The sequence below is a fragment of the Homo sapiens genome, chromosome 11 (genome assembly GCF_000001405.40).
Source record: "Homo sapiens chromosome 11, GRCh38.p14 Primary Assembly".
Lineage (NCBI taxonomy): Eukaryota > Metazoa > Chordata > Mammalia > Primates > Hominidae > Homo > Homo sapiens.
Window position 1 is genome coordinate 30,228,085 of NC_000011.10, and position 24,698 is coordinate 30,252,782.

The 24,698-nt window shown below is 38.3% G+C and overlaps 1 protein-coding gene and 1 long non-coding RNA gene across 10 annotated transcripts in view; one reads left to right on the plus strand and one right to left on the minus strand.

The window, feature by feature from the left end:
* ARL14EP-DT (ARL14EP divergent transcript) overlaps positions 1-24,698 on the minus strand; it is a 279,977-nt gene that overhangs the window by 185,115 nt on the left and 70,164 nt on the right. The gene's annotated exons all lie outside the window — the stretch shown is intronic.
* Positions 2,930-7,110, plus strand: FSHB (follicle stimulating hormone subunit beta). 3 transcript variants are annotated; one of them, NM_000510.4, is made up of 3 exons: positions 2,930-2,994; positions 3,813-3,977; positions 5,486-7,110. In NM_000510.4, exons 2-3 carry the CDS (start codon positions 3,819-3,821, stop codon positions 5,714-5,716), a joined length of 390 nt encoding a protein of 129 aa, NP_000501.1. In that variant the 5' UTR covers positions 2,930-2,994; positions 3,813-3,818; the 3' UTR covers positions 5,717-7,110. The 3 variants fall into 3 exon arrangements, with proteins under 3 accessions (NP_000501.1, NP_001369218.1, NP_001018090.1); NM_001382289.1 differs by having other exon boundaries at positions 2,930-2,964; positions 3,782-3,977; NM_001018080.3 differs by having other exon boundaries at positions 2,930-2,964.

Genomic DNA, 24,698 nt, shown 5'->3' on the forward strand with positions numbered 1-24,698 from the left:
GGAAATATGCTTGCTTACCAATTACTGACAGATTTCAAAATATTTCTATACTCACAATATTCATTTACATAAATATTGATTTGGTACTTACAATGTGTACTGCTATGCTAAGTTTTGTCTTTGTCAAACATATTTTATAAAATCATAATCCTAGATGAATCCAACTTTTGGTAACCCACGTGCCTGAACCCCTGCTGTTAACAGGCAAAGTGTGGTAGGTACAGATCTATACCTACCACCTTCCTCTACCCACCAGCATCTGCACCCACCACCCCTCCCCACCCACCATTATCTATACCAACCACCCCTCCCAACCTACCAGCATCTGCACCCACCACACCGCCCACCCACCACCATGTACACTCACCACACCTTCCAGCCATCACCATCTGCACCCATCACTCCTCCCCATCCACAAGCATCTGCACCCACCACATTTCCCTACCTACCAGCATCTTCACTCACCACCTCTCCACCCACCAGCATCTGCACCCACAACCCCTCCTCACCCACCAGAGTCTGCATCCATCACACTTGCCCACTCGCTAGCATCTGCACCATCAAGCTCTGCCTTCTTGCCTAATACGGGATGAGCTCTCCATGGTTCTGCCTAAAGACAATGCTTCCACTCCTCTTCTATAACCCATTTCCTTTTACCTCTTCAAGTACACTTCAGAACTTCTCTCTCCTTCTGATACCAACTTTTTCCACTTTACTCAATCATTCCTATCACCATACAAACGTGTTTATTTCTCCCATCTTAAAGTTAAAAATCAAAAGAAAATTGTCTGCGGCCAGGCACGGTGGCTCACGCCTGTAATCCCAACACTTTGGGAGGCCAAGGAGGGTTGGATGACTTAAGGTTAGGAGTTCAAGACCAGCCTGGCCAACATGGTGAAACCCATCTCTACTAAAAATACAAAAATTAGCCAGGCATGGTGGCACATGCCTGTAGTCTCAGGTACTTGGGAGGCTGAGGCCAGAGAATGGCTTGAACCCGGGAGGCAGAGGTTGCAGTGAGCCGAGATTGTGCCCTTGCACTCCAGCCTGGGTGACAGAGTGAGACTCCATCTCAAAAATAAAAAATAAAAATAAAACAAAAGAAAGTTATTTTTACCCAACATCCACATTAACCAAATACCCATTTCTTTATTGATCTTTGTAAAAAAAAGCTCTTGGAAAAATTGTCTATATTCACTATGACTTATCTCCTCCAAATCACTTAAACACATACCAATCAGGTTTTTGTTTTCATCATTCCAAAGTAACTTTTACAGCCAAGGACAGTAGCGAACTTTACATCGCATATGCATTGTGAAGTTCTTGATCCTCATCTTACTTAACCTGTCAGCAGTATCTGACACAGGTGTCACTGGCTCCTCCCTGAGATGCTCTCTTTATTTGGCTTTTGGGACACCATATTCTCCCCATTCCTACTTTCCTCAATGGCCCTCCTCAGTCTCCTTTGGAAAGAGGAAAAAGAAACTTCATTATCTCCTGGATGTAGTACAAACAACTCAAGCTCAACATGTGCATACTGAACTCCATTTCCTTTTCCCAAACTTCGACATTTACAGCCATCCCCTTTCAGCTGATAGCAAGTTTATCCTTCCAGCTACTCAAACCAGAATCTTTAGAGCCATCCTTGACCCTTTTCCTCCTCTCACACTCAACATCTATCCATCAGAAAATTTTGTTGGTTCTACTTTCAAAATGCATACAGAGTCAGAGCATGTCTCATTACCTCCAATAGCTACCATACTAGTCTGAACAAACATCATTTCTCACCTGGGTTATTGAACAAACATCATTTCTCACCTGGGTTATTGATAGCATCCTAACGGGTCTTCCTGTTTCTTGGTTCCCCTATATTAGCAACACAGCAGTCAGAGGAGTCCTTTTAGAACTCAATCAGATCATGTCACGTCACTCCTCTACTTAAAATCCTTCAATGGGTCCCATTACACAAAGAGTACAAACCAGAGCCCTTACACTGGTCTACAAGTTCCAACATTTGACTCCTGTTATCTCTCTGACATCATATTCTAATATTACTGCTGTTGTCCTTTTGCTCCAGTCACACTGTTTGATTAGTAAATATTTATTAAACAAAGCAATCCTAGTCTCCAAAGAGATCATAGTTTATTGGAGGAAACAAGAGCCTATAAATGGTTACACACAGAAGGTAGTGATTATGGTTCTCCCTCACCTCCCATCCTAAACTTTGACAGGTGAAACTCCCCTGGATGTTGAAGGTTGAGGAATTTGCCAGGGTTCAGGGTGGTGTTGGAGGAGGCAGGGAGGAAGCAAGGACATTTCAGGCAGGAAGAACATTACATGCAAAGATCTAAAGATATGAATCAGCAACATATTTATGGAATTACAAGTAAAGTAGAAAGTTCTTGCTAAAACATCAAAAAATAAAGATTTGTGATTAGGGGGCCAGAATGTGGGAGGGAAAGAGAGATACAGTTCACACTTTAGACAGGAGCCAGATCATGAAATGTTTTCTCTTTGTTTGTTTCTTCCTTCACAGCTTTTGATATGCTCTTGGAGCAATTTATTAACCATATTTTTTAATGCATCTCCTGAACAGAGTCAAAGCAATACTTGGAAAGGACTCTGAATTTCCTGATTTAAAGATACAAAAGAAAAATCTGGAGTCACAATTAATTTGAGAAGGTAAAGGAGTGGGTGTGCTACTGTATCAAATTTAATTTGTACAAAATCATCATCTCTAGTAACATTATTTTTTCTAATCTACTGCGTTTAGACTACTTTAGTAAAGCTTGATCTCCCTGTCTATCTAAACACTGATTCACTTACAGCAAGCTTCAGGCTAGCATTGGTCATATTAATACCCAACAAATCCACAAGGTGTTAGTTGCACATGATTTTGTATAAAAGGTGAACTGAGATTTCATTCAGTCTACAGCTCTTGCCAGGCAAGGCAGCCGACCACAGGTGAGTCTTGGCATCTACCGTTTTCAAGTGGTGACAGCTACTTTTGAAATTACAGATTTGTCAGGACATGGAGGACAAAACTAGAGCTTCTCACTACTGTTGTGTAGGAAATTTATGCTTGTCAACCTGGCTTGTAAAATATGGTTAATATAACGTAATCACTGTTAGCAAGTAACTGACTTTATAGACCAATATGCCTCTCTTCTGAAATGGTCTTATTTTAAACAAATGTGAGCAAAAGAAAATATTTATGAGATTCTAAAAATGAAGACATAATTTTGTAGTATAGAATTTTCTTGGCCAGGAATGGTGGCTCATGCTTGTAATCCCAGCACTTTGGGAGGCCAAGGTCAGAGGATTGCTTGAGCCTGGAAGGTTGAAGATGCAGTGATTCATGATTATACCACTGCACTCCAGCCTGGGCAACAGAGCAAGACCCTGTCTCAAGAAAAGAAAAGAATTTTATTTTTCTTTTCAGACAAAAATAGACTTTAAAATAATAATGGAAGAACAAATATGATGATCACAATTATCAGAGTAATTACTTTATGACAGTCAGCAATAAGATTCTAATCTTTAAATATTCCTCTGCTTAAATCATTATATTGGAGTTTTGATCTATAATATATTCCCACCCTGACCCAAAAATTGAAGAAGGACAAGGAAAAATGTTGTTCCAAGAAACAAAGATGTAAGTAAAAAGGCATAAGGAAGGAAAAAAAACTTTTGAAGCAAAATGTGATTGAGGAGGATGAGCAGACCAATTATTTTTGGTTTGGTCAGCTTACATAATGATTATCGTTCTTTGGTTTCTCAGTTTCTAGTGGGCTTCATTGTTTGCTTCCCAGACCAGGATGAAGACACTCCAGTTTTTCTTCCTTTTCTGTTGCTGGAAAGCAATCTGCTGCAATAGCTGTGAGCTGACCAACATCACCATTGCAATAGAGAAAGAAGAATGTCGTTTCTGCATAAGCATCAACACCACTTGGTGTGCTGGCTACTGCTACACCAGGGTAGGTACCATGTTTTGCTGGAAGCAAGGGTGTTGAAGGTCTGTATTAGGCCGGTTTCATTAGTTTCTACTTTATCAATATTTTATGTATTCTAAGTAACAGCCATGAGTCCTTTAGCCAAGACTGTCTGTGTTGTGATTGGGGTTAATGACCACGATATCACTTAGATGTTTGGGCTTGGATTTGATTTGGGTAAATTTAGGAAAGCCTCAGATTTAATCTGATCAATTTGGTACTAGTCCAACTTTGCATCTACAGGGAAAAAGTATTTCTATGTTACGTTTTTACACATAGAGAGATAAACATGGAAACATACATATATTTAATCATAAAGGACCTATAATATTCTCATAAAGGCAATTTCTTTAACTGACACTACATCTTTGACACAAAATCACACCAAAATATGTCTCCAAGTCACATAAAAACATAGACAGCCACTTAAAAAAATTGTCTTCCTGGCCCTACTAAATACAAATGCCAAAAAACAGCCTGAGAACACAATCAATTCTTGCAGACTGTTAGAACAAAAATGAATCAGCAAACCCACTCCCTTCGTTATAGCATTGAGAAAACCAAGACATAGAGGCATCAGTTGCTAGTCTGTGTTTGCAGTTTCCTTGCATTAATACAAGTAGAGAAATAGTTTCCATGGTGCTTTCTTTTTTCTCTGCAGCACCCCTAATTATCTATGCAGAATTTCATTCTATAAACTAAAATTGAAAATGGCAACTTTTTAAATGAACGATACTTTATTTGACGGTAAATGAGTTTGATCAAACTCCATTTATTACACAATTTATTGCACCTTCTTGGGATATACATTTGGTAGGATGATATTAAAATAAACAGAAGCCCCAATTTCTCTACGCAGTATAAATAATTTTTCCACTGGAAAGTGCTACTACAAATAATTTCTACCTGGATTAAAAATTCTTATATGCAAACTGCATATCCTTTGAAACTAGGAACCCTGCAAAGTATACAGCTTTCAAGGGAGAAAAATGTCCACAAGGAGTTGGAATATTTAAAATCTTATGTTAGCCTTAGCAAACATGTTAACTTAAGCATTAAAATTTAAAATTATATATTTTTGACCTTTTATAAATACTCAGGGCAGTGTATTTTAAAATATTTTTTCTGAGACATTGGATATCTTTGTTTATGGTTTGTTATTAATACAGCTTTCAATTAAATATGAAAAGTCAACTTAAAATCCTGTCATGTTTTTCATCATTTTTCTATGCTAAAATTCAAAGTTCCTTTATATTTTGAAAAATAGTTAATATTTTGATATAGCCATAGGAAGTAAGAAAAGAAATTACTTGTATTTTCTGGAAGATTTCAAGAACAATTTAGAAATGTAAATAGCATATAGGTCATTTATGAGGTCATGTTTTAATGGGTAAATGTTAGAGCAAGCAGTATTCAATTTCTGTCTCATTTTGACTAAGCTAAATAGGAACTTCCACAATACCATAACCTAACTCTCTTCTTAAACTCCTCAGGATCTGGTGTATAAGGACCCAGCCAGGCCCAAAATCCAGAAAACATGTACCTTCAAGGAACTGGTATACGAAACAGTGAGAGTGCCCGGCTGTGCTCACCATGCAGATTCCTTGTATACATACCCAGTGGCCACCCAGTGTCACTGTGGCAAGTGTGACAGCGACAGCACTGATTGTACTGTGCGAGGCCTGGGGCCCAGCTACTGCTCCTTTGGTGAAATGAAAGAATAAAGATCAGTGGACATTTCAGGCCACATACCCTTGTCCTGAAGGACCAAGATATTCAAAAAGTCTGTGTGTGTGCAATGTGCCCAGGGGACAAACCACTGGATCAGGGGATTCAGACTCTACTGATCCCTGGTCTACTGGCAGAGGGAACTCTGGGAATTGAGAGTGCTGGGGGCCAGGACTCCATCATGATTCAGCTCTATATTCCTAGGTCTGATTTCATAAGGTTTATTCAGTCTTAACTCACAGACTTGTGCCTGGTTTCTTCTTTAAAAATCTTAGAAATCTTCTCAGGCAATGCCTCTCTCTTAGGGGGAAACATAAGCCTAGAAGGAGGAAGCAGTAATGGGAGTGAGTGAAAGAACTAACTGCAGCAGTCTTCTGGTAGACTCTTGGGCCCTCTAGAGCAAGGTCAGCATCTTCAGCATTGTAGCGTCAATGCCTAGCACTCTGCCTGGAACTTAGAAACACAACAATGACTTCTTTAGATCAGAAAGGTCAAGGGTAGAAAATACTGGAAGACGATGTTTGAGGTAAGCTGATGAGGCTGCCCGCAGCCACACCAGTCCCATGAAAGTTAGTGGCATCAGTTCCACCTCGCCTTTTCTCCAGCACATGGAGTATTGAGACATGATGTATCTTTCTGAATTGTTTGGTACAGATGGGGAGTAACAGAGCTCAAGATTTCCAAGCTATTACTACCAAGCCTGTTAGTTAAGGGCAAAGGCAAGAAATTGTAATTTGGGGCTGTGGAAATTAGCCTGCCTCTATTCATTACTTAAACAAATTGATCACATGCTACTAGGCTCCTGCAAAACTCCTTTTTGAGATAAAGGGAAAAAACCAAACTATCTCACCCTACCCTCCCTAGGATCCACTTCTTTGGAATGACAAAGGATTTGAAAGTAGGTTTGAAAGCAGTTTCAGCAATTTAATAAATATAATTAATTTGTCTACAAATATATTTGTATAAATAAATAGCTCCTTTAGAAAGAATTAGCCATGGGGGACGAGGGGAAACTGCTGTTTTCTAGGATCCTGTCTACATCAATCTTCTATTTTATCCATCCATGTTCTCCCAAATCTGTGCTTTCTTTCAACAGGTTATATATTAAAACTATTTCATGAGTTGATTTCTTTTAAACGTGTTAACTGTCTTAGTTATGCACTCAGTTTCACACTCATATTGTTTAACTAATTTATTTAAATCTTATTTTTTTAATAAAGATGCTAGCCACCAGAGTCACAGGCTTGGATTGTTTTATGTACAAACAGATGACTTAGATATTCTGTATTTTATAATATTAGTGGAATGAAATCTTAAAATATAATTCCCAGTGTTTCTATAAATATTACCTTTCCTTATCTTTGGAGATATTAAAAATAATTTTGTTGGATTTCTGAAGTGTTTTGTCACTTAAATTTCCTGTCATTTTTTGAAGACATTTTCTGATGTAATTTGGGAGAAAAAAAGCATAGAGAGAATCACAGAATGGGTGGAGATACTAGAGTTTCTATAGTTTACTTCTTGAATTTTTGAGATGGAAAAATTAAAGCCCAGTGATATTAAGTGGCCCACCCAAGATCACTGTCCTAGTCCTTTTGGGCTGCTATGACAGAATACCTTAGACTGGGTAATTAATAAACAACAGAAATTTATTGCTCACAGTCTGTAGGCTGGGAGGTCCAAGATCAAGGTGCCAGCGGATTTCTTGTCTGGGGAGGGAGGGCCTGCTCCCTACTTCAATGCTGGTGACTTTTTGCTGCATCCTCATACAGTGGAAACAACGGAAAGCTCCCTCAAGTCTCTTTTATAAGAGCACTAATCTCATACATAAGAGGTCCATTTTCATGATCTAATCACCTCCTAAGGCCCAACTTCTTAATACCACCACAATAAAGATCAGGGTTCAACATGAATCTTGGAGCAACATAAACGTTCAGACCACAGCAATCACAAAGACTGTTTGTGGCAGAGCCAGGATTAGAATCCTAGCCTCCTTGCTCTTAATCCGGCTCTCCTTTGACTACTCCACCATAATAAGAAGTCATTTTGGTAAAGATTGAAGCAAAACTACAGATATTATTATAATAATCATCTCTGTCCCTTCTAATCTGGTATTGGGTGTGGCTTATAGCAATGCATTGAAATTAGGGCTATATTAACAATGTTGAATAAGATGCTTTAAATTATAGCCTTTTCCTTCTTCCTGTAGTTTTGCAGACCAAAATAATAAACCTTTACATTAGGGAGAGTAAAGGACAATGGCTTCAGATTTATGTTGTCTCAATCATCTTAAGCAGATGTGTCATCTCGAACAAGTTACTTAAATTCTCTGGACCTCAGTTTCCTCAACTGTATAATGGGGATAATAATATTTCCTGCTTTAGAGAGTTGTGTTCATGATTAATGAAATAACAGATAAAAGGGCTTAGAGCAGTACTTGGCACATAGTAATTCCTCAATAAATATTAGTTGATGGTTGTCCCTTGAGAGAGACAATGCAGTAAAATGGTAAAGTCAGATTTAAGTTAAGGACAACCCAGCTCATACTCTTTCTGGTCTGAGCAAACTAGTTAACCCCTTTGGGTCTCACCTTTCTCACTTTTAAAATGGAGTAAAAATGGTAACTATCTCACATAGTTGCTGGCAGATTTAAAAATATAATGCAGTTAAAGCACTTCAGAGGCCAACAGAGCTATAATCCTGCTGGAGAGAGTCCCCTTTACCACTTAGTTCAAATGGCCAAGGTCAAAATGCGAGTAAAAAGCAGAAGTTTCTTCTTACGGCACTCCCATGCCAAATAGGAGTACACTCCTTTCTGGAGCAGCAACAAAAACCTGTGAACCCTCCAGGTGGAGGCCAAGAAAAGGTCCATCTCCATGGGCTGTCATTTTAGTTGAAGTCTGATAATCCCTTCTCAGCACTATGGTGGACATCTCTTGGCTCTGGGCAGTCCTCGCATGACTTTAAGAATTGTATGTCTAGGCCGGGTGTGGTGGCTCATGCCTGTATTTCCAGCACTTTGGGAGGTCAAGGCAGGCAGATCACCAGGTCAGGAGTTCGAGACCAGCCTGACCAACATGGTGAAACCCCATCTCTACTAAAAATACAAAAATTAGCTGGGCATTGTGGTGCATGCCTGTAATCCCAGCTACTCAGGAGGCTAAGGCAGGAGAATCACTTGAACCCGGGAGGCAGAGGTTGCAATGAGCCGAGATCGCGCCATTGCACTCCAGCCTGGGCAACACAGCGAGACTCAGTCTCAAAAAAAAAAAAAAAATTGTGTCTAAACCACAACTTTGACCATGCCAATTAATTAATGAGCTTTCCAATTGTTTTCAGGAAAAAAAATCTTAATTCTTAGCTGAAACATGAGGCCTATCATGGTCTGACCTCTGATTATTTAACTTCTTACCTCTTCCGCTCCCCACAAGGGTTGCTGAATCTAGAGATTAGTTTTGAGGATTGAAGGATTGGGGGCCTTCCATTCCTGAAATGCTTTAACTAAAATACCATGCCATTCATCCCATGAGATATTTGGTGGACTATAATTGAAAACTGGTCAGTAAGTCAGCAGCACTTGAATCATAAAAATGTGAGGCCAGTACATAAGAATAATAAACACTGAGTTCATGGTAGTGAGGAAGGTGAAGGAGAAATGGAACTGTGGAAAAGTACCCAGAGAGCCTCAAACTGTATTTATAATGTTCTATTTCTTACAAATATGATATAATGTTAATATATAAAAAACTAGGAGACTGCTGTACAGGTGTTTACTATATTCCTGTAGGCATGTTCAGTGTTTACTAGTTGACAACTAACATGGCATCTTTTTATGCACTGTACATTTAATTTAGATTTTATGCCTAATATAAGAAAAGTGAAATGGGCCCGGAGCCTAGTCTGAAGTCACACAGCTAGTGTGCAAAGCCTCAATCATTAGTATGCATTTAGTGACAGAGGTAGAGAATTCAAATCTACTTACGAAGATATGTGCCTATGTCTTCCTGGGTATAAAGCTGGACAACATTTTCCCACCTTCTTTGCAATCAAGTGTATCTGTGTGCCAGCTAATGGAATGTGGGCAGAAGTACTGCACATATTTTCACACACAGCCCATAAAAACCTCTCATAAGTGATCATCTATTCTCTTCCTCTATTTGCTGGATGTCAATCCTGAAGGTGACTAGGAAAGTTTGTGTTGATGAAAACAGAACCATTGTCAACCTGGATCCCCGAATGTCTGCATGGAGCAGTGTGCCCAATATCAACAACCCCTTATAGCAGGCTGTGTGGATGCTATGCATCAACACCGTAAACTTCTAGTCACTGACATTTGTGAGTTTATTCGTTTTAAAAAATGCATTATTTTAACTTACAAATATTGGTACTGGAAGTGGCGTGTTGCATTAATGAAAACCTTAGCACATATGGCATTGGCTTAGTGGTTGTACAATAGGAGAAAAGAAAGTAGTAATCATAGTGGCAACCAAAATGAGTGATTGAAAGGCACGTCTCAGTCACCAAGGTTTATTGTGCCAGTTTGAGGATGCATCCAGGAAAAACTCAAGTAACAGACACATCTGTGGCTGTTTTTCCAAAGAGGTTCTCGGAGGTTTAATATTTATACATTTTCTTTTACAAAGGTAGAGGAGTCGGTGCGGCAATGAGACAAATGATTACATACTTGTGAGATTTTAGTTAGTACTCGGTAAATCTACATTTTATGTAAGATAAGGTGAACAAAGTAAATAGGAATGGAGGAAGCAGACATCTCAGCGTAGAGTGAAGGAATGATTACTCTCATCTTCTCTTTGTTCTGTACCTGGGAAAATAAACTAGTAGATATTATCAGAGTGGACTTTTTTTGAAAAAGCTGGTGTCTAGTTAGCTCTTAGGGAAGAAAGCCTAAGAGCTTGGAGGGAATATCATGAAGCCTTTCGGACCTCCCATCCCATCATGCCATGAACTTAGCTTCCAAGTTTTCTATGGGGTCCCCTTGGCCAAGAGAAGAATCTGTTCTGTCAGTTAGTGGTTTAGAATGTTATTATTTCTCAAGAGTACAACTTTCGGCTGGACATGGGGGCTCATGCCTATAATCCCAGCGCTTTGGGAGGCCAAGGTGGGCAGATCACCTGAGGCCAGGAGTTCGAGACAAGCCTGGCCAACATGGTGAAACCCCATCTCTGCAAAAAATATAAAAAATTAGCCAGGTGTGGTGGTGCGTGCCTGAGGCCTAAGAATTGCTTGAAACCAGGATGCAGAGGTTGCAATGAGCTAAGATGACACAACTGCACTTCAGCCTCAGGGACAAAGTGAGACTCACAAAAAAAAAAAAAAAAAAAAAAAGAGTACAACTTTCACCTGGGAAAACATGAAGGCTGGCCACATGCCTATTCAGTCCTTAGCTTTATGGCAGGGTCAGCAAATTATGCCCTGAAGGCCAAATCTGGCCCATCACCTTTTTTTTTAAACAAAGCTTATTGGAACACAGCCACCCTAATTTTTTACGTATTGTCTATGATTGCTTTTGTACTACAAAAGCAGAATTCAAAGACCATATGGCCCACAATGTAAATAAAATATAATTTGAAACTTTACAGAAAAATTTGCCAGCCTCTGCTCTAAGGGAAAGGCTTACAAAGAACCGGAACGTAAAGGGAGTTGGCTTTTCCTTTCTAGATATTAAAGAGATAGCTTTTTTGCAAAATGGAATGGAGAAAGTCCAGAAATTTTTGCCTCAATTGTATGTAAATGTCTATTGCTTCCTCATCCCAAATAGTAAGTGATAAGATGGATTTGAAAAACAAATACATAGTAAGACATAAGATGGATTTGAAAAACAAATGAATACTAAGAGATAAGACGGATTTGAAAAACAAATAAATAGTAAGAGATAAGATGGATTTGAAAAACAAAGGCTCATTAAAACTCGGTTCTGAGGTAAAGACAGATTTAGGGTATGGTCTTCCCATCTAGATCTTCTATCTCAGGTACTATCATGGTAGAACTACTAAGTTGTAAGGAAGCAAAAAAAAAAATCAAGATTGATAATTATGAATAAGAAAAAACTTTTAACATGTTTATAGGCACTAGAAACTAAATGGAAATATCTGAAGGAGCTGATTGTCAAAGAAACTAGGAGACCAGACTAAAAATGCCTTTCTTTGAACAACCTTTGGGCTCCTAAACTTGATGAGGAGAAAATAGACTACGAAACCTGTACAAGACCAAGGAGGATGACTCTCCAACATCCACTTTGAATGTGGTCATGGAAGGTAATGGATAAGGAAGAACTTTCCAGATGATAGAGCCAGGAGCCATGGAGAACAATGGACAAGGGAAGAATGTTGCCCCTAGTGAGAAGCAGCAGCATCTAATCCAGGAACTTCCTCCACTGGCCTGGCAAAAGGATTTCATAAAGTTTGCCCAGTAGGGTTTCATCATTGCTTAATCCAGTGAGCTGTGTCTCCCATTCTTTCTTCTTACGAATAGAAGTATTATTGTGAACGGAGTTATTGCGCAAAGTGTCCGTACTTCATCCCTGAATACCGGGGGGAAAGGGACAAGGAAGATAACAAGTCTTTTTTGTCCACAGGTTGAGTTGCCAGCTCATGAGAAGCCACATTTGGACATTATAAAGAAAACTGTGTATCATCCGGGTATTAAGGGCCTGGAATTGGACTAAAGAAGGGGAGGAGGTGGTTCCAGATGACAGAGAAAGATGAAACTGATATTTGTTCTCAGAAGGTTGGACTGTGACAGAGATTGTTACGTGTTCACAGAAACCTTCTCTATTTTTCCTGGGGACATAGTTTGCAGCCCCACTTGTAGAAAGGTATATTTATGTCACCAAGTTCTACCAATAACCAAGGTTATCAGAAATGATGTGTGCTACTTCTAGGTCTGGCTCATAAATCCTCTGACAGGTAAATCGTACTCTCTTCTACTCTCAGGTGACTGAGTACTAATGATTAAAGCAACCTTGGAAGCCATGCACAGAGAGCAGCAGAGGCTCTACAGCCTAAATCTCAGAATGCCCAGAGGACTCAAACATGCCTAAACACCTGTTCCCTCTGAAAGAACTTTGTATGAACAAGAAACAAATTTCTCTTGTGTTAAGTCACTGAGACTTGGGGGTTTATTTGTTACAGCAGGTAATATTACCTTAACTATTGTAGGGATCCACAGTACTTAAGGAGCTTAAATATAATGTTTCAGATCAACTCACATGAACCAAGTATAAAATTAGTTATCTAATAATGTATACATATATACCCAGATCACAATCTTCTGTTAAAATACGCAAAACAGCTTTGTTATTTAGTACTTTAAGTTTTTGCCTGGAGGAGTGTGTGTGTGTGTGTGTGTGTGAGAGAGAGAGAGAGAGAGAGAGAGAGAGAGAGAGAGAGAGAGAGAGAATTTCCCTAAATAAAATTTCCTCCTTCTTTCTGTCTGAAAGTGGCTCAGGGAATCACTGACTACTATTTCATATGAAATACTCAACACAAAAAGGCAAGCTAGTGCCTCCTACTGGTCCCGCTGATAAAGTACATATCCTTGAGACAGTGTATCACAGAGCTGTTAAGTGGGGAATCCAGGATCAGGGAGTTCTCATGACTTTAGAGCCTGTGTACCATCTACCATACTCCAACATTCTTTACAAGCATTATCATGAGGGTATTTCAGCGGTCCATGTAGATTACTTGGTAATGTTGGGCTGGGACTTAAAATTTGACCCTCAGTTTACTAATAAGGTTTTAAAGAAGCCAGACACTCATATCACACCAGGATAAAATGCTACCTTTCCAAACGAGATTACTTCAAAGCCTTAATGCATCTGGGGAAACAGAGGGTAACCCTGGGGGATATGTAATATTGACTAGACCAAATGCCAGAGATTAGGAGCAGGGAGAGAGTAGTGAAAGTACAGAGGAGACAGGAAACAATTAAAGTTATTAAACAATAATTCTTCAAGGAATCCCTTACATGGAGTATATTTATTTCCACCTTAAACATAATTTTCCAAAATCTAAAGCAAAAGACCTTTTTACTCCATTAGCATTTCTTTCTCGATTTCCAATAAAAAAGATCAGCTGAAAAGATCAGCCAGTAACATCTACAATAATAAAACAATCTCAGCCACCTTTAAGCAATGTACATAATAATCATATTTAAAGTCTATATATAGAAGGTGGTCTGCTTGTCCATGTGAAGACACAGGTATTTAGACAATCAATCCAGATTAAATTATTAAAGTAATAAATAACAATTGAGAACCAACTGAAATAATAGTAGGTGCTAAACAGTAGCAGCACTTAGAAAGTCAACTGCCCTTAAAATAAGCAGAAAACCAAAAGCCCATCACACAGCAGCTGAGATCTGAGTGAATTTTGAGGGTAAAATTGTGTGGGGTATGCAATGAAATCAGTGCCACCAAGTCAAGTTTATGGCAATCTTCTAATCAGAGGCTTTATTGGCAAAGGAAAGGAAGATTCTTTACATGAAAGGAAGGTTCTATTGTAATGATGTCCATGGAATTGGAACTAAAACTAAAATAGCTAAAGGACCAAAATGGTCATTCTTGCTTTAAGGGTTCCCAAGTCTCCTTCCTAACATTTCTCTTTCTCCCTGCACAGCAGTTCCAATCTCCACAGTATGGATGTGCTGTTAATTACAGGTGTCTTTCAACATAAGCACCCAGAATCAATCAGAACTTCTCTTTGAGTCTCTTAGCCTAAATTCCACTCCCCACCAAAAAAAAAAAAAAGGATTTGATTGATTCAAATGTTATCATTTCTCTTTGTGTAGAGTCTTTCACACAAGACCATGATGAAGGCCACTAGGTACCTGTGATGGTTAATATTGAGTGTCAACTTGATTGGATTGAAAGATGCAAAGTTTTGTTCCTGGTGTGTCTGTGAGGGTGTTGCCAAAGGAGATTAACATTTGAGTCAGTGGACTGGGAAAGGCAGACCCACCCTCAATTTGGGTGGGCATAATCTAATTGGCTGCCAGCGTGGCTAGAATAAAGCCGGCAGAAGAAGGTGGAAAGAGCTGACTTGCTGAGTCTTCTGGCCTTCATCTTTCTCCTGTGCTGGACGTTTCCTGCCCTTGAACATTGGACTCCAAGTTCTTCAGCATTTGGACTCTTGGTCTTACACTAGTGAGTATAAATGACTCTTGGACTTAACATCAGTGAGTCCACAGACTGAAGCCTGCACTGTCAGCTTCTCTACTTTTGAGGCTTTGGGACTCGGAGTGGCTCCCTTGCTCCCCAGCTTGCAGATGGCCTATTGTGGGACCTTACCTTGTGATCATATGAGTCAATACTCCTTAATAAACTCTGCTTCACTTACACATCTATCCTATTAGTTCTGTTCCCCTATAGAATCCTAACTAATACCCCAACAGTACACTTCTGGGTACCCTAATGATAGGCTGCCTTTGAAAGCAGGATACAACCATTGTCTCTTCAGTGACTTCCCAGGAGCAAAGAACAGCCTGATACTATTACTTTTTAGCAAAGGAGAGATTGAAAGACGGTTTAATCTAGAAAGAGAAGCTGACAATGACAGGCAGATTGATTTCCATATCTGAAACAAATATTTTTCTGAAGTCAGAACTAAGAATTTAGTGGCCTTGAAAAGCTCTAAGTAGTTTTTCTGTATTTGAAGAAAAAAGAAGTGATTCATCCTTTTGAAGATAGGCATATTGATCTGAATTCAGTCAATTTTGTGGGCATTGGCCCCAACATATACCTATTATTTGCCACTGTCATCAGTATGCTGAACAAACAGGACTCACAGAGTGAGATCCTAAAAGCAACTTTATTTTGCTCTCCCATTGTCCCTGTGAATTTGCTAAAAGGAAGCTGTCCTTCTCCTGCCACTGGATGGAAATCTATCAGGCTACATGGCCTGATGTATCAATGGTCACTTTGGGTAACAAAGTTTTCATTATCACTTCACAAGCACAATAGTAACCAAAAACCTTCAGTCTCTACTACATAAGCACAACAGTAACCAAAAACTGCCAGTCCCTACTAATAACAAAAGTTTCAATCAAACCTGAGTCAATATTAAACATATCCCATCCTTGGAGGAGTGGAGGTATAATTCTTTAACTCTCTCTCCCCATCTGGGATTTCTATTCCCTGTTCCTAGGTCACTGCTCCTTCTGGATTAGAATACAGAGTGGGAAAAGAGGAAGAGCCAAAGGAAATGGGTACATCCTCTCAGGACATGATAGCTGTTTGACAGTGACTCTTTTCTAAGCATGTGTCTGTGCTCTTTCAGAGGCACCTCTGCTGGGACCCTCCAACCATAATTCCATTGTCATGGGGAATGCATCTCTGGAGGCAGGCTTTCTTTATTTAACACTATATACCTCAAATCTCTGTAAAGAACTGTATTGAGCAGGAGCCTTTATTAAATAGACATTCCTAAGGTGAGGTTCCCATTCTGGCCCCAGAATTTTTGCCACATTGGCCCAATATTGGTGGGTGGAGAGGGTGGAGGGAGAGCAGTTGCTTTCTAGTTCCATTCCTCTACTTTGAAGCCACAGGAAGATTTAGATAACTTCTTCACTTTTAGCTTTCTCAGGCATGAGTCAGATATTAGTCACTGTATCTAACAATTCTAGGGACTGTTCATGAAGCTCTCTGAATGATCCCACTTAATCCTCCCTCCCTTGAATTCGAAATAAGGAGCACATACCTCTCCACCTTGCCTCCTTAGCAACAGGATATAGGGTGGGAAGTTTATACAACCTCCTCCAAAGCATTCCTCTTCATAAAATATTCTCATTTTCAAACACCCACATTTTTTTAAATCCCTTACTGACAGTGAGGCTCTCTGAGAATTTTTTGGCCATCTACTTTGAAATTCCTAAAGGATGGTCTGACTCACTTTGATATCTGAAATTTACTACATCTTGATGTCTTGAAACTTTGATTCTAACATCCTATTATACTGCCTAATACATTATAGGAAATCAATTGATCAAAAATGAAAAGAAACGTAATGCTTATGATTTTCATTTTTGCCCTATCTTTATTCCAGTGTTAGAAACTTCCTTCACCTGTACACTGACCTGCAGATCATTCTTGAGTTATCTATTCTTGATGGTCTCAAAAGAAATGTAGTGGGGGAGTTCTAGGACATGACACATGCAGGAAACTGAAATGGAAATGATATCCAGATAGACACAGTGCTGCTGCGAGATGACTGCTTCTCCACTGAAATGCAATTTCACTGTCTCCTAAATTACATTTTCCCCCACCAATTCACTTAATATGCACCTTCAGAATGCTGTCTCGGAATTTAATTTTCCTCTGGGCAAAATGTTACATTCTCATCTATCCTTGAGCATGTTTTATGCCCTTTTTTATTTTCTTAAATAAATGTTGGGACAAAGACAAATGAGCAGAAGCTGCAAGAAGGCGCATGGGCCAGTGAGTGAAAAAGGGAGAGAGACAAAGCCATTTTGGGAACTGTCTTACTTAACTCAGACTTTCATAACAAATACCATAGAACGGGTGGTTTAAGCAACAGAAATTTATTTTATCACTGCTCTGGAGGCTAGAAGTTCCAAATCAGGGTGCTGGCTAATTTGCTTCCCGGTAAAAGATCTTTTCCTAATTTGCCACCTTCTCTCTGTGTCTTCACATGGCAAGGAGATACAGAGATAGAGAGAGAGAGCAAGCTCTCTCTTGTCTCTTCTTATCAGGATACTAATACTTTCAGATCAAAGCCCCATCCTTATGACCTCATTTAACCTTAATTACCTCCATAAAGGCCCTATCTCCAAATACAGTCACATTGGGGGTTGTGGCTTCAAAACAGGAATTTTGAGAAGCACAAACATTCAGTTCACAGCAGGAATGATTATATAACCAGCTAGTTTAGCATTATTTTGCTCAATGTTGTGATAAGACTAGCAGTCTCTATAGCAGGAATGGCTAAATGCTCAGGCTCCATCGTGCTGCATTTCTTCTAGTGAATCACAAGCCATATCAGGGTTAACTTTAAGATTATGTAACCTGTGGCGGTAAGCAGGATAATGACCCACAAAGATATCTATGCTCTGAACACTGGAATCTGTGAATGTATTACCCTATATGGCAAAAGGGACTTGGCAGATATGATGACCTTGAGATGGAGAGATTATCCTGAATTATCCAAGTGGCTCCAATATTTTACAAGTGTCCTTAAAAGTGGAAGAGAGAGGCAGAAGAGTTGCATCACAGAGAAATGTGACTAAGAAAGAAGGTGAGAGATGCAATGTAAGAAGAAATTAACCTGCCATTGCTGGCTTTGAAGATGGAGAAAGAAAGCCACAAATCAAAGAATATGGGTAGCCTCTGGAAGTTGGAAAAGGAAATTGGTTCTCCTCTAAAGCATCCAGAAAGAAACACAACCTGATTGGTACCTTCATTTTAGCCCACTGAGGCCTTTATTGGACTTCTAATCTACAGAATAGCAAGATGATAAATTTGAGTTTCTTATAAGCTACCAAGTTTTTAATAATTTATAATAGCAACAATAGAAAACTGATACACATGTTAAAAGTTCTCACCCTCCTCCTCCTCAAAAAGTGGGTCTAACTCTTCCAGTCAAGATCCATAACCCAAATCTCAATTTACATGGGATTTACCTCCAGCTACACACCAGCACCACTAACTAAACTCATGATACATGGAACCTGAATCAGAGCAGTTTATGAGCTGTCTACACAATTCAGTCATAGCTTACAAAACAAATAGACTGGGGAAAGTGAAAACTTATTTGTTTTAAAAGCTAACGATGTTTTCAGGAGATAATTTATTGTTTGTTACTGATGCTAAGTCCTCTAGACTACAAGCATTTCTTGAGGATAGGGACCACTACTTGTTTGCAATTCCATCTTCAGAACCTAAGAGTTCAATGCTTCACACACAGTAGATGCTCAAAAATCACTAGTTGAATATATATATATATATATATATATTTGAGATGGAGTCTCGCTCTGTCACCCAGGCTGGAGTGCAGTGGCATGATCTCTGCTCACTGCAAGCTCCGCCTCCCGGGTTCACGCCATTCTCTTGCCTCAGCCTCCCAAGTAGCTGGGACTACAGGCACCTGCCACCAAGCCCGGCTAATTTTTTGTATTTTCAGTAGAGACGGGGTTTCACCGTGTTAGCAAGGATGGTCTCGATCTCTTGACCTTGTGATCCGCCCACCTCAGCCTCCCAAAGTGCTGGGATTACATGTGTGAGCCACTGGCGCCCAGCCTAGTTGAATATTAAAATAACTATCATAGACTCTAACTGGAATTTGACAGGATATGCCTTAAGGCACTTTATGATTTTTCACTCTTGACTTCATTTTACTATAAATAAAGCTATTGCATTTGTCAAAAAATTTTCAGTTTACAAGAACTAGAAACCCAAGCAAGTGAAGAAATTTGTAGGATGCATAATTAATAAGGGCCAGCATGGTGCCAGCTTTAAGAATTCCTAAGTTCAAAATAGTTCTTGCACTAGGTCTTCAGGATCTTCTCTCTTGTTTGAATAATGTTTCATGACTAAAATTTAAAATAGATATTAATAAACTGGGCAATCTTGATTATTCTATTTCATTCTAATGGCTTACTTTTCCTAAGAGAATGTCACTTGCTCACCCAGAGAAAACAACATTAAAATGTGTTTCCACCTACAAATCTGAAAGATCTCTCCAAAGATACACAAACAAAATAGAATTTGTCATATCCACACTTAAAGATATTCATTTCCCACACTTAAAGTCAGCAGATATAGAAAATTATTTTGTAAGATTGATCATTATAATATTGGATTGAATATTCCATGGGTGAAAGCATCTATCTTCTTTCCTCTCCTGTAGACTTTAGCAACAATGGAAACTATGCCAAATATAATACAGATGTTCTATCCTCTAACATCCTATAATGTAACAAGATAATTTACTAGTCACTGTGGGTATAACAAATGTATTTTCTGAACCAAGAGTTCAGAAACTATACCACTTGTATTAGTTCTCATGCTGCTAATAAAGATGTAACCAAGATGGAGTGATTTATAAAGAAAAAGAGTTTTAATGGACTCACAGTTCCACATGGCTGGGAAGGCCTCACAATCATGGTGGAAGGCAAAGGAGGAGAAAGACACATCTTATATGGCAGTAGGCAAGAGAGAACTTGTATAGGGAAACTCCCCTCTGTAAAACCATTGGATCTTGTGAGACTTATTCACTACCATGAGAACAGCAAAGGAAAGACCTGCCCCCATGATTCAATTACCTCCCACCGGGTCCCTCCCACAACACGTGGGAATTATGGGAGCTACAATTCAAGATGAGATTTGGGTGGGAATACAGCCAAACCATATCATCACTTTAGCCATTGCCTCCAATGTCAGCATAATTGTCTATTCTTTGCTTTAAATTTAGAACAGAAATTACATCTCTTTGCAACTATTAAGACAGTTCATCTCTCTCTGCAACTATTAAGACAGTTCATCTTACTAAAGAATTACAGTATTACTTCAATTATGAAATCCAGTTTGCTAAATCTATCTTATACATTACAGTGTTGAAATTCTGGGACAGGTTGATGGTTAGTGGAACAATGTGGTAGAACACTTAAAATTAGAACTGGACAGAAAGCCTGGAATATAAGGTCATTTTTATCAAGAAGAAGAGTTGAAGGAATGAAGGAGAAAGCAGATGAAGTATGAGGCTTCCCTCTGACGCATGAAGAAGTTTATATAGAAGGGTGAGTAAAATAACACTTAACCAGAGGAAATAAAGAGTAGAAAACAAAGTACAATCAAATGTTAGGTTTATAGTATAGATGATGAAAGTTACAGAAGAAAGGAGAAATACTCATTAATTTCAAATATTTGATATTAACTTCTACTTAAGTTCCTAGTGATGTTATGTTTTCTCTTTTCATAGCCATTCATCTGAGCATTCTGGCCAACTCAGTAACTGGGCTTCTTGTTAAATACTAATAACCTGACCCTTTATCTCCCTTTTTCCAAATGACAACCTGTGAGAATAGACTTTTCATTCTACTCATTTGTAACAGAACCATCTTAACAATGACTTCAGCAGATCCAAAAGTTAAATCTTTTAAGTGAAATGTATTTGCAAAAGAAATATGGTAACTGAAATATGTAGCCACTCATAATAATTCAGTATTTTATTAAATAATAATTTTTTCTTTTATTTTATTTATTACAATTATTTATTTTATTAAATAATTCTCACTTAAAATTGCAGTCATTGAAAAGCTACGATACACTAAAAACTACACTACGGACTGTGAAAGACGCTGAGGAGAATAAGGCAAATCTTACCTTCAGAGAATTTGTAATTTGGTAATTTAGCATATAAAATATCTCTTCCAGTCTGGACAAGATGGAATAAATCAATTTCTCTTTACTCCTCCCTTCTAAGCACAACTATAAAGCTGGAAAATAACATAAGAGATAATCAAAGGAGAACTCTATACGGTTGTAAAAAGAAAGTGAACTTATCTGAGGATCTTAGGACTGAAGTAATACAGCAGTGGGGCATTATACATCCATCCCTCTACCTAACAACAGAAGGCAAGCCAGACCCATATTTGCCAATTCCCAATGAAGTAGGCTCATTCCTCTCCATGATCAAACCATGGTCCCTCTGACAACATCAGGCAGGACCAACACCATCGAGTTGATCAGGAGCCCCTTTTGTTGTTTTCTGATTGAGAAAAAGTGGTCAAGGGAAGAATTCATCCCCACTCCTCCACCACCCCTTTCCATTTCACACAAGAGTGTATTTTAAAATGACCCAACTATATCTGTTTACAATAAAGCACTTTCAATCCAACAACATAGGCAAGCTGAAACTAAAAGGATGCTACATAGTATTCCATAAAACACTATGTTTTCATAAAATAAAAAAGCAGCCATGGCTACATAAATATGTGATAAAATAGACTTTAGAGCAAAGAAAATTAGTAGCGACAAATAGGGGGATGACATAATGACAAAATCACAATTAAGCTGAGTACACCAGCACCCCCTTCTCAGCATCTGAAAAACTACCAGAAATAAAAGCAGCAAGAATTTAAAAGATGTGAACAACACAATCAACTAAGAATTCCTAATGTACTTACATAGAACACTGCACCACCAACAACAAAATACACACTTTTTTCAAGTGCCCATGAAACATTCCTCAAGATAGAATATACACTGGAACATGAAGCAAGCCTCAGCAAATTTAAAAGAACTGAAATCACACAGAATGTGTTCTCTGACTATAATGGAGTCAAACAAAAAATCAATTTTTAAAGACAAGACTATAGGAAAATCTCTTAACATATGGAAACGAAACAGAAAACTTCTAAATAATCTATGGATCAAGGAGCAATTCTCAGAAAATTTTTAAAACTACATTGAACTGAATGAAAATGACAAGTACAACATTCCAAAATTAGCCTGGTCAACACAGGGGATCCTATCTCTACACAAAAATTAAAAAATTAGCCAGGTATGGTGGTGTAGGCCTGTAGTTCCAGCTACTGGGGAAGCTGAGGTGGGAGGATCACTTGAACCTGGGAGGTTGAGGCTTCAGTGAGCCATAATCACGCCACTGCACTCCAGCATGGGCAACAGAGAGAGACCCTGCCTCAAATAAATGAATAAACACATAAATAACATACCAAAATGTATGTGCTACAACTGAAGCAGTGCTAAAAGGGATATGTATATCACCAAATACTTACATCAGAAATGAGGAAAGGCCTCAAATCAATAACCTAAGTTCTTACCTCAAAATCACTAGAAAAAGAAGAGCAAAATAGGCCCCAAATAAAAACAAGATAACAAAAGTCAGAACAAAAATGATCAAAACTGAAAATAGAAAAAAAAAAATCAATGAAACAAAAAGCTGGTTCTTCAAAAAAATAAAATCTATAAATTGATCATCTCTAATAAGATTTTAAAAATAAATAGAGAAGATACAAATAAAAAAATTGAAATTAAATTGAGGTTGTGACTACAGACCCAGCAAACACTGAAAAGATAAGGAAATACAACAAACAGCTGTATGCTAAGATATTCAATAAAGTAAGAAAATTTGACCAATTCCCTGAAAGCTACAAACAACCAAAACTCAATAAAGATGAAATATGTAATATAGAGATCCTCATAACCATTAAAGAAATTGAATCTGTAACTTAAAAGCTCTCCCCCAAAATTTTCTAGGTCCAGATACTTTCACTGGAGAAGTCTATCAAAAATTTAGATAAAAATAGACTTTACACAATCTATTATAAAAATAGAATAAGAGAGAACACACACTAAACTCATTTTATTAAGCAAGTATACCAAATTAGACAAAAATAGGAAAAGAAAGAAAAAAAAACTACAAATCAATAATTCTCACCATCTTAGAAGGAAAAATCTTCAATAAATGTTAACAAACCAATTCCAAGCAATGTATAAATAGACTTATACACTATGACCAAGTGAGATTTATTTCAGGTACTCAAACTTGACTCAAAATTGAAAACCAGTGTAATCTATTACATCAACAGATTAAAAAACAGAAATTATATGGCCCTATCAATTAATGCAGAAAAGCATTTGATAAAATCCAGTAACTATTTATGCTAAAAAGGTAGCTACAGTAATCAAGAAAATGTGGTATTGGTAGAGAGATATAGATATATACTAATGGAACAAAATAGAAAACCAGGAAATAGACCCAGACAAATATGTTCAACCATTTTTTCACAAAAGTGCAAAAGCAATTTAATGGAGGAAGAGCCTTTTCAACCAATGGTACTGGGGCGATTAAACAATCACAAACAAAAGTAAAATGAATCTCCACCTAAACCTTACATTTATACAATAATTAACTCTAAATGAATAATGGAATTAAATATAAATAGTAATGGCATGAAACTTAAAAAAAAATTCAAGCAGTCAGATGTGGAGGTGCTCAATCAGGACAACTAGCCAAACTGAAAGTAACAATCCAACCTCTATTTACTTATAGTGACAGTGCAAGCAAGAGGCACTAGCTCCCTAATGTTCCATTTTTTTTCCTCTATTATTTCACTATGTGAGGGTCAGGTAGACACAGTACTTACAAAGGGAATTGTCTCACTGCTGAAAAACCCTAAACAAAAGATACTTGCCTCTCTATGGATTCACGGGCTGAGGAGATGGAAAGGGGAAAGGCTGGGAGTAGAAAGATACTGAAGCTAAGTGGAGAGAAGTATTTTAGCCAAGGCTCCCAATAAGGAGGTCTCAGCAGAGATGCCTGGGAAGTGCCTCAGCGTAGATCCTCAAAGAGGAGACCTCCCACTGGAGGTGCCCAGACTAGAAATGCAGATATGCATATAAATATGGTTGGCCCAGAAGGCCCTTGATTGCAACTTGCTCCAGAAAATTGCAATGCATTGGCTATATACAAAATCTGGTGTGGGGAGGTCAGCTTCTCCCCATGAAGCCTGCCAGGCTAAGCTTCGTAATTGCCTATAGTTGAATCTGAACAATCACGCCCATATCTGGATTCCTCAAAATATATGAGACAATCTTTAGGATCTAGAGATAGACGAAGATTTTTTAAATGATACCAAAAGCAAAAGCCATACAAGAAAAAATAGATAAATCATATGTCATTCAAATTAAAAATGTTTGTTCTGCAAAAGACACCATTAAGAGAATGAAAAGACAAGCTGGAGATCAGAAGAAAATATTTGCAAATCATCACTCTGACAAAGAACTTGTTTCTAAAATACAGAAAGAATACTCAAAACTCAACAATAAGAAAAAAACATGCACACGTATTTTTTTTCTTATTGTTGAGTTTTGAGTATTCTTTCTGTATTTTAGAAACAATTCTTTGTCAGAGTGATGATTTGCGAATATTTTCTTCTGATCTCCAGCTTGTCTTTTCATTCTCTTAATGGTGTCTTTTGCAG

Excerpts from the sequence above, each read along its gene's own strand:
- FSHB (NM_000510.4), top strand. The coding sequence starts at position 3,819 with ATGAAGACACTCCAGTTTTTCTTCCTTTTCTGTTGCTGGAAAGCAATC. Across the intron at positions 3,978-5,485 it reads CTGGCTACTGCTACACCAGG|GATCTGGTGTATAAGGACCC; the intron begins GTAGGTACCATG and ends TAAACTCCTCAG.